This window comes from Homo sapiens, chromosome 15, assembly GCF_000001405.40.
Source record: "Homo sapiens chromosome 15, GRCh38.p14 Primary Assembly".
NCBI lineage: Eukaryota > Metazoa > Chordata > Mammalia > Primates > Hominidae > Homo > Homo sapiens.
Window position 1 is genome coordinate 28,361,478 of NC_000015.10, and position 15,989 is coordinate 28,377,466.

Sequence of the window (15,989 nt, forward strand, 5' to 3'; positions counted from 1 at the left end):
TTATTTATTTATTTATTTATTTATTTATTTATTTATTTATTTATGTTGAGATGGAGTCTCACTCTGTTGCCCAGGCTGGAGTGCGGTGGCGCATCTCAGCTCACTGCAACCTCCATATCCCGAGATCAAGCGATTCCCCTGCCTCAGCCTCCCGAGTACCTGGGACTATAGGCATGCACCACCATGCCCAGCTAATTTTTGTATTTTTAGTAGAGAGGAAGTTTTACCATCTTGGACAGGCTGGTCTCGAACTCCTGACCTCAAGTGATCCGTCTGCCTTGGCCTCCCAAAGTGCTGGGATTACAGGCATGAGCCACTGTGCCTGGCCTGTCATATTATTTCTAAACATTTGAGTGACATTTCAATTAAGTGAAATTTAATTCTTACTGACCTGATCTCTTATCCTCTGTTTAATGATACCTTCCAGTTGAAAGGTGTTTCCTCTGTAATCACGGGTGCCAAAGGAAATACAACATGTATTCATTAGGTGGATATCCACTAAACCACGGATTCATGCATTGTAGTCCTTAGACCCTCAGCATCAGAAACACGTGGGAACTTGTTAGACATGCAAATTCCTGGGCCAGCCCCACACCTCCTGAATCAGAAAGTGGGGAAGGACAGCTATCTGTGCTTTAATAAGCCTTGAGATGCTCCCTGAAGTTTGAAAACCACAGAACTAGAATACATATGGTAGTAAGTGCTCATACTTTATCCAAGGTACTAGGGACTCTTCCCCTCTTTTCCATTCTCTTTTCTGTTGAAATAAAATGAGAGCTCCTTTTGACTTAATGGGTATAAGAAAGAAGGCAATGAGATGACCAGGGTTTCAAGTTAGAGTTCAAAATTTAATCAGTGGACAGTGACAGGATGCAAGCCTTCTAAACAGATTGCTGCAAGGAAGCTGATTATAATCTATACAGTAGGTATCATTAGTGTATTGATGTTAAATTTTGGGGGTGGATTAATGGTATTGTGATTATATAGGAGAAGTCCTGGTTCCTAGAAGATATCTGCGAAAGTACTTAACAGTGAAATGCTCTGATACTGCCAACTTACTTTGAAATGATTCAGAGGGAAAAAGGGCACATATACAATCTTCCATACGCAGAAGACAGAAAACAAGTGTGACAAAACATTAACTAGTGAATCCAGTTGAATAGCATACAGATGTTCACTGTATGATTTTATCAACTTTTCTGTGTTTGCAAGTTTTCAAAATAAAAGTTGAGGGAAAGAAACATCACCCCAAATCTTTCTATGAAATGGGACCATAGAAAAAGCAGAGAAGTGAACACTTTGCAGAAAAGAGCACTGCACCCATCCGGACAGCATGGTCAAAGTGCAGGCTCTCCTCCAGGAGGCTCTTCTCTGGTCTCTTCTGTGCTGTCACTTCCCCCACATGCAGCCAAGGCTTTTTTCTAACAACTCTTTTTCTAAAGATGTAATTTTTGTCATTCATCTAAGAAAGAGAAGAAAAGAATTAGTATACATTTAGAAAATAAAATTACACTTACATTTGTGAAAAAGCAAAAAATACTTTGAAAAGTGGGGAAGCAAGAAATGTACTGTTCTACAATTCTGTTCTGTTCTTACCATCTTTTTATTCTGCCAATGACTTCCTATTCCTGCTGTGTATGGTGGGGTGAGCTGCAAATGATTTCTTTTCCTCATTGATTTAAAATCTCATGTTTATAATGTACCAAACTCCCCCAGAAGCATTTGGGTTTATTTCTGGGCTCTATTCTATTCAAGTAATCTATCTGTTCACAAGCCACTATCAATTTTGATTATTGGAGCATCCTAAAGTTAAGTAATTGTTGTTTTTGTTTTTGAGATGCAGTCTCTCACTCTGCCGCCCAGCTGGACTGCAGTGGCGTGATCTAGGCTCACTGCAAGCTCCACCTCCCGGGTTCATGGCATTCTCCTGCCTCAGCCTCCCGAGTAGCTGGGACTACAGGCACCTGCCACCACGCCTGGCTAATTTTTTGTATGTTTAGTAGAGATGGGGTTTCACCTTGTTAGCCAGGATGGTCTCGATCTCCTGACCTCGTGATCCACCTGCCTCGGCCTCCCAAAGTGCTGGGATTACAGGCGTGAGCCACCGCGCCTGGCCCTGAATTTGCTTGAGTTTTTAGCTCTCTCACCCATTTCAGGATTGTCACCACCCATATCTGACACGTCCTCCTCCTCCTCTAAATCTTCTAGGTCCTCCTGGCCATCAGCCTCTGTTTCTGAACCAGCCTCTTCATGCTCCTGTTCTTCACTCTCTGGGAGAAGACTGATATCTTCATCTTTCTTTCACTAACCGCATTCTGGAAGCACTGTAAAATTGCTTCATTTTGCAATTCCAGTTGTTGCAAAGTCTGCTCATCATCAAAACTTTCTATCACAAGTTTTTGTAAAGAGCTGCCATGGATTCTACCATTCTCTACTGTTTTATTAAAGTCATAAAGCACTTTTGTTAAAGAAGTGAACTTTGGTTCCAATCCATCTTGAAACCTATTGGGAGGAATTAAATGAGATTTAGAATTATAGATAATAATTTCACAGCCCTCTTAATTAAAAGAAAAATAAAAACCTCAACTCTTCTGTAAAATCAAATTTGAATAAAGTGTAAGTATAGATTCTGGCCCCAACAATATATAAGCTGATGAGCCACAATGATATATAAAACCTGTCAACCAAGTATTTGTGAATCAGCTGTATAGATTGTTGGCAGGAAAAGCATTACAAATCTATTTGCTTGGAGATATATAGTGAATTAGCCTTAAATTATCTACTCTGCTACATTATATACCACTCCATTCATTCATTCCCTTATTCACTCAATGATCAACATTTGCTTTGGCTACAGTGGTCAAGGAAAACCTCTCCTAGATGTGACATCTGAGATGAAACTTACAGACAAGTATAGTCTTATAAAGATTGGGAAACATGTATTCCAGGCGGAAGAAACAGCAAGAACAAATTCTCTAAGATGCAATTGAGCTTGGTAAGCCTGAGGAATAAAAAAAGTGAGCATGGCTATAGCATGAAGGAGGCAGAAGGTGAAGTTGGAGAGACTGATGGGAGCCAAATTCTGCAGGGCTCAAGGGTAAGAGTTTGCCGTTTTAACTGTAATAAGAAAATATGAGAAGATTTTAAGCAGAAGGATGAAATGATGATTTATACGAAGGAAGAAGAAAGGGAGGAAGGAGGAGGAGGAAAGTAGAGTGATTAGAAGGTTGATGCAGCATTCCAGGCAAAGGATGATGGTGATTTAAGCTGGAGTTAGAGCAGTGAATATGCTGAGTACAGTTTGGAGGTAGAACTGACAGGATTGCTAAGGAATTAGATACAGAATAGAGAAAAGTGAAGACATCAAAATAGCAGCCTAGTTTTATGTGCGAGCAACTGGAGAGACAGAACTGCCATTTAGTGCGATAGGCAAGGCTTGAGTGGTGGAGCAAGGGGAAAGGACTTCAGCGGATGGCAGAGTGTAGGTGGGTAGAAACAACATTCTACTGTATTTTGGACACAGTGAATTTGTGATGCTGAGAGGACCAAAATTTAAAAAATTGTTAAAAGCCGTACGGTGCGGATATCCCAGTTGTGCGCTACTGAATTCCAACTAAGCTCAGTCTGGAGTTGCTTGTGAGCAAGGAACTCAAGGGAGAGGTTGGAGTTTGAAACATAAATGAGTCATAATTTTATAGGTCATATTTGAAGTTCTTCAACAAAATACACATAAAACGTTTGTGTTGGGAAGAGACATGAAAGTTCTAATTCTCAAGAAGCTTAGTGGGGTAGACAGACAAGTGACAAGTTTGTGCTTTCAATAAAGTATGATGGCAGGTAAACACTGAGTGCTTTAGGAGCACAGGCGGAAGGAGAAACCAACACAGTTGTGTGTAGGGGGATGGGGGCCGTAATAAGCCTCAAGGGGAGCTTATAGGCGTGAATAACTGAGGTTAGGTTGATTTCAATAACATTCAACTGAGAGATCCATACTGTAAAAGTTTTAACAATTTTTAAAATTTTGATAGCCTAGGTCCTCTGAAATGTGGGGAAAAGTGATTTACATTTCCCCTTACCTTCCCCCAGCTCCACAATTTGCCAGGGGTCTGCAACCCGTGTCCACGTGCGACCGCAGTCGCACCCGAGCCCGGGATCTGTGCACTTACGTGAGGATGCACTCGGGCCAGCCAGTGGCTTTGCCCACCTCCCTCAGACACCGCTCCGGGGTCCGTCAGCGCCAGGCCCATGGGCCATGGCTGTCTGCAACTCCCGACACAAGCTGCAAGGCAAGAGAGCCGCTGGGAAACCGCACCGCAAGGATGCTGGCATTGGAACAGGAATTAAAAGAAATGAAAAAATGTGTAAGCAAAAACTCAGCTGTATGTAAAAAAAACCCAATTCCCCCTGAGAATGAGAAAGAGCCTTAGTCCTTTAAAAAAACTACCTGTTTTCCTATGGCTAGTGAGCCTTATCGCTCCCTTCCCAGGCATTATCAAAACCCTAATTCCCTAACTGTGCAACTGCAAGGTCACTAAACAAACAAATGCAAGTCACAAAACATATTTTTCCTAAAAACGTAAAAAAAAAAAAACATAATGCGTGCTTCAATTAAATAACCCTCTGTTTCTCGCTTCTGTAATATGCTTCCCCCTGCACAGATCTACCCGGGCTCCACAAAATGCTAAAAGATAACTCTTTATTCAGCTCAACGCTTTGATCTGCCTGGCGTGGTGGCTCACTCTTGTGATCCCAGGACTTTGGACGGCCAAGTAGGGTGGATCGCTTGTGCCTTGGAGTTCCAGACAGGCCTGGGCAACATGGTGAAACCTGGTCTTTTTGTTTTGTGTTGTTTTGAGACAGAGTTTCGCTCTTGTTGCCCAGGCTGGAATGCAGTGGCTGGGTCTCTGCTTGCCGCGACTTCCGCCTCCCGGGTTTCGGTCGTTGTCCTGCATCAGCCTCCAGAGTGGCTGGGATTGCAGGCATAAGCCACCAAGCCCGGCTAATTTTGTATTTTTTTTTTTATTTTTATTTTGGTACAGATGGGGTTTCTCCCTGTTGGTCAGGCTGGTCTCAAACTCCCGACCTCAGGTGATCCACCTGCCTAGGCCTCCCGAGGTGCTAGGATTGCAGGCTTGAGCCACCGCTCCCGGCCCAATTTGTTAATCAGAAAGGAATAGATCGTCCTGGTGTGGTGGCTCACGCTTGTGATCCCAGTACTTTGGATGGCCCAGCGCGGGGTATCCCTTGAGCCTAGGAGTTCCAGACCTGCCTGGGCAACATGGTGAAACCCGGTCTCTCTCTCTCTCTCTTTTTTTTTTTTTATGAGGTGGAGTTTCGCTCTTGTTGCCCAGGGTGGAGTGCAGTGGCTGGGTCTCCGCTCGCAGCGACTTCTGCCTCCAGGGTTTTAGTAGTTCTCCTGCCTCAGTCTCCGGAGTGGCTGGGATTGCAGGCCTGACCAACATTGCTCTGCTAATTTTTTTTATTTGTTTTTGGTAGAGACGGAGTTTCTCCATGCTGGGCAAGCTGATCTCAAACTCCAGACCTCAGGTTATCCGCCCACCTCGGCCTCCGGGGATGCTGGAATTGCAGGCGTGAGCCAGCGCACACACCCAATTTATTTTTATTTCATTTTTTATTTTTATATATATATACTTTTGAGACGGAGTCTCACTTTGTCACCCAGGCTGGAGTGCAGTGGTGCGCTGTCTCGGCTCACTGCAACCTCTGCCTCCCAGGTTCAAGCGATTCTCCTGCCTCAGCCGCCTGAGTAGCTGAGATTACAGGCGCCCGCTAGCACACCCATCTAATTTTTTTTTTTTTTTTTTTTTTTGGATTTTTAGTAGAGATGGGTTTTCATCATGTTGGCCAGGCTGGTCTCGAACTCCGGACCTCAGGTAAACCCACCTCGGCCTCCCAAAGTGCTGGGATGACAGGAAGGATCGGCCTGGCGTGGTGGCTCACGCTTTTGATCCCAGGAGTTTGGACGGGCCGAGCGTGGCGGATCCCTTGATCCTAGGAGTTCTAGACCAGCCTGGGCAACATGGTGAAAACCGGTCTCTCTCTCTCTCTCTTTTTTTTTTTGAGGCGTAGTTTCCCTCTTGTTGCAGGGCTGGAGTGCAGTGGTGCGGTGTCGGCTCCCCGCGGCCTCTGCCTCTGGGTTTGGGTGGTTCTCCTGCCTCAGCCTCCGAGTGACTGGGATTGCAGGCGGGAGCCACCATGCCCGGCTCTTTTTTTTTTTTTCTGGTAGAGACAGGTCTCTCCATGTTGGTCAGGCTGGTCTCAAACTCCCGACCTCAGGTGATCCGCCCGCCACGGCCTCCCGGGGTGCTGGGACTGCAGGCGTGAGCCACCGCTCCCGGCCCAATTTATTAATCAGAAAGAAATAGATCGGCCTGGCGTGGTGGCTCACGCTTTTGATCCCAGGACTTTGGACAACCGAGCGTGGGGAATTGCTTGAGCCTAAGAGTTCCAGACCTGCCTGGGCAACATGGTGAAAATCTGTCTCTTATTATTATTTTTTTTTTCTTTTGAGGCGGAGTTTCCCTCTTGTTGCCCAGGCTGGAGTGCAGTGGCTGGGTCTCCGCTCGCGGCGAATTCTGCATCCCGGGTTTTGGTGGTTCTCCTGCCTCAGCCTCCTGAGTAGCTGGGATTACAGGCACCTGCCGCCACACCCGGCTAATTTTTTTTTTTGTATTTTTAGTAGAGACGGGTTTTCATCATGTTGGCCAGGCTGGTCTCAAATTCCTGACCTCCGGTGATCCACCCACCTCCGCCTCCCCAAGTGCTGGGATGACAGGCGTGATCGGCCTGGCGTGGTGGCTCACGCTTTTGATTCCAGGACTTTGGACTGGCCAAGCGTGGGGGATTGCTTGAGCCTAGGAGTTCCAGACCGGCCTGGGCAACATGGTTAAACCCAGTCTTTTTTTAAATTCCTTTATTATTATTATTATTTTTTTTTTTTTTGAGACGGAGTCTCTCTGTCGCCCAGGCTGGAGTGCAGTGGCGCTATCTCGGCTCACTGCAGCCTCTGCCTCCCAGGGTCAAGGGATTCTCCTGCCTCAGCCTCCTGAGTAGCTGGGATTACAGGCGCCCACCACCACACCCGGCTAATTTTTTTTATTTTTTAGTAGATCGTGGTAACTGCCTTAAAATGATGATTGTTCAGAAAGTCAGTTTAATTTAGATACTAAGGATATTGAGGTTATGTAACATTTGAGCAAGTTCTAAAAAAAAAGAGAAATAGTATATTTAATTGCTAATAAAGTATTGTCAACTCACAAATATATTCACATAGCATACATTTCAAGAGCAGAATAACCATGAATATAAAAGGAATTAGCAAAAACGAGACAAAAAAGACATGAAGAAATAAAAACAGATGGAACAAATAGCACAAAATACGATGAAAGTTATAAAAGAAACTATGCCAACAATCACAATAAATGTAAATAGACTGAATAATTAAGAGAAAATGACTATAAAACAGAATTAGGGCACGCGTGGTGGCTCATGCCTGTAATCCCAGCACTTTGGGAGGATGAGGCAGGCGGAGGGATCACAAGGTCAGGAGTTCGAGAGCAGCCTGACCAACATGGTGAAACCCCATCTCTGCTAATACAAAAATTAGCCGGCGTGGTGGTGAACATCTGTAATCCCAGTTACTCAGGAGGCTGAGGCAGGAGAATCGCTTGAATCCAGGAGGCAGAGGTTGCAGTGCCGAGGTCACACCATTACACTCCAGCCTGGGCAACAGAGCAAGACTCCGTATCAAAAAAAAAAACACACAAAAAAAACACAAAAAACAGAAAATAAACAGTATGAAAAGACATCTAAAACATAAAGTCACAGAAAGACTGAGAGAGATTGAAAAAAGATACACATGTCATATGTACCTAACCCAAAGAAGGGTTGGAAGCTATATTATTATCAGATAAAATAGGCTTTGGGCAAAAAGCAATATGGGAGATTTTTTAAGGTCACAATATGATGATAAAAATTCTAATAAACCAAGGGAGAAGGTAATCTAAAATGTTAATGTATCTAATAACTAGCACTCAAAATACATGAAAGCAAAATATGACAAAATTGCAACCCTCAGAGGGCAATTTAAATACATATCTCAGTATCTGATAAAAGAGACAAAAAACAATCAGCATAGACATAGAAGATTTACATCTCTCTAGAAAATTAACAAGCTTGACCTAATGTACAGAAAAAACATATCTCTCCAAAGTGACAGCATTCACCCCCCCAAGTACATATGTACTGAGCCATAAGGAAAATCTCAACAAATTCCAAAGAAGCGGAATCATGCATCCATCTTTCTCTCTAACCATAATCTCATTAAACTAAAAACAATAATAAAAAGATAAAGTAAAAAGCCAGAAAGGCAGATGCTAAATGAGAAAGTGACAGAGAAGTTACAGATTTTGTTAAGCATACAAAGCTTCTATAGGGTAAAGCAGTCAAAGGGATATGCAAATTTACACAGAAATCCAACCGATATAAATCCTTGAAAGATACTACATACAGATATTTCATCAGTTCTCACATGCCAAACCCAGCAAAGCCAAACTTTGGAGCCTCCCCTGCGAGCAGACCTGCCACAGGAGGAGAGGCAGCACAAACCTCCCTTTGCAGTGAAAATGCCACATTGTGTGTGCTTCTTACCCCATCACCTCTTTGGAAGTGGCCCCACTCAGTGCTAGCTGAGAATCGCTTCCCTCATACCACTCTCAGTAGTTCACCCCAAGACACACTGGACAACTCTGTACCTGGTAAGTCATTGTGAATCCAATTAATAATGGCATTCAGAAAGTTAGGAATCTTTGAATTATTAGATTCATAGTGATATTCAAAAGAAAGAAAACGACATCATTTCTGTTCCACGCATGTTGCCCACATTCACTGCGTAAAAGGCAAAGGGAACTGTGAGTACTCACAAAGAACCTGATATTGACGGCACATACATTTCTTCATTAGGAAGAATAAATTTAGACTGTAACAATTTAAAAAACCAGAAAATACAACTGTACATTTTAGCTCTTATTAAAATCCAAGAGGTTTAACTTATTTGCTCCTTGTTTAGGTAATTAGTGTCTAAAACATTTCAAAGATAACATATATAGTGGCTACGATTTCTAGTACTTTTTAAAAATTCAAGCCCAGTCTCTTCTAATTAAATGTATAAATGATTTATCTCTGTCTTTCTTAAAAAGAACCAAGAGCCCCAATTAAAAAGTAAAACTTAAATTTCCTCTTAAAAAATTGTTACGTCAAAATTATCGAATAAACCATAGTTCAGAAAATAATTTCTGAATTAAGAAAATATGAATAATAAAACCAACAGTTTATGTGCTGAATTTCAAATTTTTATTTTTTATTATTTTTAAAATTTTGTTTTAAGTTCTAGGGTACATGTGCAGGAGTGTTACGTAGGGAAACGTGTGCCATGGTGGTTTGGTCCACCTATCAACTCATCACCTCAGTGTTAAGCCCAGCACGCATTAGCTATTTTTCCTGATGCTCCTCCCCCACCCGCCCTGACAGGCCCCAGTATGTGTTGTTTCCCTTCCTGTGTCCATGTGTTCTCACTGAACCTCACATTTTTAAATACAGCATATGCCAGGTGTCATTTCAGTACCCATGATTATACATAGTATAAGTATATGTGTAAATATATGTATATGTGTACATATATGTATGTAATATGTGTATGTAAATATTATGTAAATATGTATGTATGTAAGTATATATGTAAATATGTATGTGAATGTATGTAAATATATACACATGTAAATATGTATGGAAAAATATGTATGTAAATATATGTATGTAAATATATGTATATATATATAAATGTAAAATATGTAAATATTTGTAAATGTAAAATATGTAAATGTAAAATAAATGTAGAATGTCAAATGTAAATGTAAAATGTAAAATAAATGTAAAATGTAAAATAAATGTAAAATGTAAAATAAATGTAAAATGTAAATGTAAAATATGTAAATATATGTATATGTGTAAATATATGTGTGTAAATATATATGTATATGTGTAATATATATGTATATGTGTAAATATATATGTATATATAACACAGCATACAGCATATGCCAGGTGTCATTTCAGTACCCATAATTATACATAGTATAATTATACATAGTATAATTAGACTACTATGTTAGCTAAAAAATGTTGATTAGATACAAATGTATAAATTTATCTTCTCTAAAAGTGGAAATTCTCTAGAGGCTATTTCCAGCTTCTGTGTGGATTGTAGAGCAGGCTGCTACCTGTACCCCAAAAATGAACACCTTAAAAAAAAGACAAGTTTCTCAGCCTCCCTATTGCACACACATATGAAAAATATGTTAAATTCAACGCCAACTATTCCTGAGATCAACACAGCAGTGATCCCAAAGAGAAAATTTCTCTTTGCTAATGGGCACAAACTTGAAGGGCAAAGCAGTGGAAGGGTAAGTCTGCAGACTCGGGTGGGGCTCAAGTCAGAATCACGTGGAAGATCATTGCCACATGTTTTTGTTTTTTTAAATAGCAAACACCACCAAGTGGAGCCCGCCGGGTTTAGTAGATATTAAACCTCTAAGGAGTGGCACATCCGAGACTGAAATTCCCATCTTTTGATTCCCAGCTCAAGGTCTCTGAAATGCCAGCACCAGCTGTGAAATTGTTCTTCTGCATTTTCATGGAGACCTTTTCTTCTATACTGCCATACTCTTTTTTTTGGAACAGTTATACCTGATCTTCCTATTTTTGTGTGTGTTCCACCGAAAGTTTTTCACTCTAAATACTTCCCTCTTTCCAACTGAGCATTTACATCTGTAACAAGGACAAAAACATCTAACATCTCTCTCACCCTTGGTTTGTGTTTTGTTTTGTTTGTTTTTGAGACAGGGTCTTGCTCTGTCACCCAGGCTGGAGTGCAGTGGCGTGATCACCGTTCACTGCAGCCTCGAGCTCCTGAGCTGAAGCAATTTTCCCACCTCAACCTCTGAGTAGCTGAGACTATAGGTGTGTGCCACCACGCCTGGCTAATATTTGTATTTTTTGTAGAGATGAGTTTTTGCCATGTTGCCCAGGCTGGTATTGAACTCCTGGCTTAAGTGATCCTCCTGCCTAGGCTTCCCAAAGTGCTGGAAGGAATTACAGGTATGAGCCACCGTGCCTGGCCTCACCATTGTTAAAATTATGGAAATCGTGTTTGCAAAGCAGCTTGGCCTGTTTGGAAAAGGGTGTCATAATTTCTCAGGTAACTCCAAAAAGAGAAAGCTACGAAAATTACTTTAATACATTCATTACAGTCCCAGTATAAGATTATAGCTTCCTCTCCCAAAGCGTAACCACAACCTGACGCAGGATGAGTTGGTTTGAAAATACCGCATACAATATCCTCTTGAGTAGAATCATAATTTAGAACTCTAAAATTGACCAGAAACAAAACTGTCCAAGTTTGTTTAACGTAATGTGTTTCAACTTATTTGACTAGAAAACCCTTCATTCGTGCAACACTTATAAATATCCCATGGCAAATCTAGTTTTCTATGAATAATGAACAAAACATTTATAATTTAAAACTAAAATTGTCTTCTAAGCAGAGATCTACGTATCAATAAAATGAAGAAATAAAATTTCCATACTGTTTTCTTCCCAATACAAGGATTAGAAGGAAAGGGAAAAGAGTAACAGCGAGAATCAATAGCCCATGTCTGGCCAGGCTCCATGGCTCAATCACACCTGTAATCCCAGCAATTTCAGAAGCTGAGGCGGGAGGATCACTGGCCTTTAGTGATCCTTGAATGAAACTCCATCTCTAAAAAATTAAAAATATTAGCTTAGAGAATCATTTGGGCCCAGGAGTTTGAGGCTGTATTGAACTATGACTATGCTACTGCATTCCAGCCTGGGCAACAGGCTGCTTAAACCTGGAGGGGCGGAGCTTGCAGTGAGCCGAGATCGCGCCACTGCACTCCAGCCTGAGCAAAGGAGCCAGACTCCGTGGCAAAAAAAAAAAAAAAAAAAGAGATTCTATTCACAATAGCAACAAAACCCTGAGAATATATCTAGCAAAGTATACACAAGGCCTTTCATGAAGAGTATTGCCATAGCCTGAATGTGTCTCCCAAAATTCATGTATTAAAACTTAATTCCCAAGATGATAGTACTAAGAAGTGGGGCCTTTAAGAAGTGATTAAGACATAGGGTGAGCCCTCATGCATGAGATTAGTGCCTTCCTTATAAAAGGGCTTGTGGGTGGTGGTAAATCTGTCCCTTCTGCCTCATGAGAACATAGCATTTGCCTGCTCCAGAGGAAGCAGCATTCAACGTACCATCTTGGAAGCAGAGACCAGGCCCTCACTAGACACTGTGTCTGCTGGAGTCTTGATCTTGTTCTTCCCAACCTCCAGAACTGAGAAAATAAACTTCTGCTCTGTGTAAATTACCCAGTCTCAGGTGTTTTGTTATAGCACTATGAAGGGACTAAGACAAATATAAAAATTACCCAGGGACTTAAAGGAAGAACTGACTAAACTGAAATACATGCCATATATATTATGAATCGTAGGACTCAATGCTATAAACATACTACTTCTCAACAAATTAATCTATAAATTCAAGAAATTCCTACACAAATCCCAATAGAATTTTTTTGTGGAACTCGAGAGGCTGATCCTAAAATTCATACAGTCACTTGAGGGGCCAAGAATAGTGTAACAGGGCTGGCGGGGCTGGTGGCTCACACCTGTAGTCCCAGTACTTGGGAAGTCAAGACTGGAGGATGGTTTGAACCCAGGAGTTCAAGACCAGCCTAGGCAACATAGCAAGATGTTGTCTCAAAATATTAAAAATAAATAAATAAATAAAAAGAAGGTTAAGTATGCACATTTTGTTGTGAATTTCAATTTTATAGTGATTTTTTTTTTTTTTTTGAGACAGGGTCTTGCTCTGTCACCCAGGCTGGAGTGCAGTGGTGCCATCTTGGTTCACTGCAACCTCTGCGTGGGCTCAAGCAATCCTCCCGCCTCACTCTCTGGAGTAGCTGGGACCACAGTTATGTGCCACCACACCTGACTAATTTTTATATTTTTTTTTTGTAGAGACGGGGTTTTTCCATGTTGCCCAGGTTGTTCTCAAACTCATCCACCTGCCTTGGCCTCCGTAAGTGAGATCACAGACATGGGCCACTGTGCCCGGTCTAGTGCGCTTTTTTTTTTTTTTTTTTTTTTAACCAAACAAACGATGAAGTCTCAGGAGTAAAAGTTGATACACAAGTAAATTTTATTGGTAATGTTTTTGTGTGGTCTTTAAGCAGAGGGAAAATTAGTCTGCATTATGGTGTATCCAGACTAAATAACTGATATTAAAATGAAATTATCCTTAGGATTTGCAATCTTAGAGAAAACTTTTTCATTTTTTTTGAGTTACAAATTATCTTCACTTACATTTGAGAACAGTGAGTCACAGAGGGATTAAGTATCTTACTCAAGATCTTCAAGTGTTTGGTTTGAACCCAATCTTTTCACTCTGCAGAACTCAGAGTCACTCTTATTTGGAAACTTTTTAACTGATGTGGATCCTCTAATATGGGCTTCCTATTATTCATTCCGTATTAGTCAGAAGTTTTGCAAGCAGGCAGAATTCATTTTGCCAATTACGGGATTTTCCCTCAGTTGCAGTCAAGGTTCATAAAACTATAACTATTTATCTTTAATTATAAATTTTGTTTTTGAGACAAAGTCTTGCTCTGTTGCTCAGACTGGGATCCAGTGGCACAGTAACAGCCCATTGCAGCTTTGAACTCCTGGGCTCAAGGGATCCTCCGCCTCAGCCTCCCAAGTATCTGGGACTACAAGTGCATGCCATCATCCCTGGCTAATTTTGTTAAAAAAAAAAAATTGTAGAGATAGGGTCTTGCTTCGTTGCCCAGGCTGGTCTCAAACTCCTGGCCTCAAGCAAGCCTTCAGCCTTGGTCTCCCAAAGGGCTGAGATTACAGGTGTCAGCCATTGCACCTGGCCAAAACTGTAACTATATATACACACACACATAACTACATATATATGTGTGTGTGTGTGTGTATGTATGTGTGTGTGTATATATATTTTTATATATAAATAGATATATCTGAAAGGCATCAAAAGAAAAAAGCTGTAACTTTTAGTCTTGATCTTGATAGTGACTTGATTAGGCTATCTGTTTAACATCAAAGATGCAAATTAATGCTTTCTTTGGGTGAGCATATTAAAAATGCAGAAAATATTGGAGTAGTTTTTTATGTTAAATAAATTGTATTCTGTGTATTTAAGGTATACAACATGATTTTATGGGATGCATATAGATGGTTAAAAAAAATTACTACAGTGAAGCAAATTAACGTATCCTTCAACTCAGATAGTTACCCGTTTTCTTTTTGTTTGGTGGCAAGAGGAGCTTAAAATCTCATTTAGCGTGAATCCCAAATACAGCACAATTTTATTACCTATATTTCTCGCGTTGTACATTATATTTCTAGGCTTGTTCATCCTACATATCTGCTACTGTGTAACCTCTGAGCTATGTCCACCCATTTTCTCTCTTGCCCCCCAAGTAATTTCCTAAAGTGTCTCATATAAAAAGGCAGTAGCTTTCAGCTTAAACTTTTTCTCTGTATATATTTAAGTCAATTTCTTTGAGGTATGTTTTTCTCTCCAGAATAGTTAGATGTAGGCATACCACTTTAATGTTGACACTAGTTCACCTAGAACTTATCTTCTGCAAATCTGTCTCTATGTCCATCTCTGTCTCCATCTTTGTCTCTGTCTTTATCTCTGTCTATCTATCTATCCATCCATCCATCCATCCATCTATCTCTCTATCCATCTATCTGTCTATCTAACTAAAGCAAATTCATGCCCTTCTCCTATTTATGGAATCGAGACCATAAACAGAGGTGAGGGAAAGAATTTGGCAGGAATTGCGATGTGTATTACCTGTGGCATAAGGAAACTTTACAGAACTAGGGTCAAAAGTATACTTTCTAGTTCTTTCCCATGGCTTTTCACTTTGATGTAGTCCTTATCAGGCAACTGAGGTTTTATATAAGTCCCCTGATTCTTAGAACATGAAGGTGTAGTATTCAAGTTTGGTCCCTTGAAACCACAATTTTTGTTAAAAAAAAATTAAGAAAATTGTATAATTTCCTCAGCAAATACATATTGATCATCTGTTATACAGCCATGAGAAGTGGTTCTGTTGAACACGTTTATTTTATCAGATCCCAATTCTAAACCAGGCATAGAATGGAAACCATGAAGGTAGGATGAAATAACTTCTGAATGTTTGAAAATAGTGTACTTAAAAATAAATATCAGGTGTTTTTGTTTTGTTTTTTGTTTTTTGTTTTTGAGACAGGGTCTCACTCTGTCACCCAGGCTGGAGTGTGGTGGTGCCATCTCACCTCATTGCAGCCTTGACCTCCCAGGCTCGGGTGATCTCCCACCTCAGCCTCCCAAGTAGCTGGGACTACAGGCACATGCCACCATGCCCAGCTAATTTTTTGTATTTTTTGTAGAGACAGGGTTTCACCATGTTGCCCAAGCTGGTCTAGAACTCCTGGGCTTAAGCGATCTTCCCACCTCAGCCTCCCAAAGTGCCAGGATTACAGGCATGAGCCACCATGCCTGGCTGAAAATACCAGGTTTTTAAGTATCAGCACTGCCTCTTCAATCTTTTCTATTACTATGTTGTGCTCAGTGGTATTTTTTATTGAATTAGAGCAGTGCTGTTCAATGGAACCTTCTTTGAGGATGGAAATCTTTTATGTCTCTGCTGTGTGGGTATGGTATTAGCTGGGTATGGGGCACCTGCCTATAGTCCCAGCTACTCAAGAGGCTGAGGTGGGAGGATCACTTGAGCCCAGGAGGCCGAGTCTGCAGGTTCGTACCACTGCAATTCAGCCTGTGTGACAGAATGAGACTCAGTCTCAGAA

At 41.1% G+C, this 15,989-nt stretch overlaps 1 pseudogene, besides 1 other annotated feature; it reads right to left on the reverse strand.

The window, feature by feature from the left end:
• MPHOSPH10P7 (MPHOSPH10 pseudogene 7) lies at window positions 1,321–2,515 on the reverse strand (annotated as a pseudogene).
• Window positions 12,112–12,312: a silencer, noted in NCBI's record as "peak2278 fragment used in MPRA reporter construct". NCBI's record gives its function as "represses an SCP1 promoter by STARR-seq MPRAs in K562 erythroleukemia cells {active_cell/tissue: K562}" and the evidence as "EXISTENCE:reporter gene assay evidence [ECO:0000049][PMID:32103011]".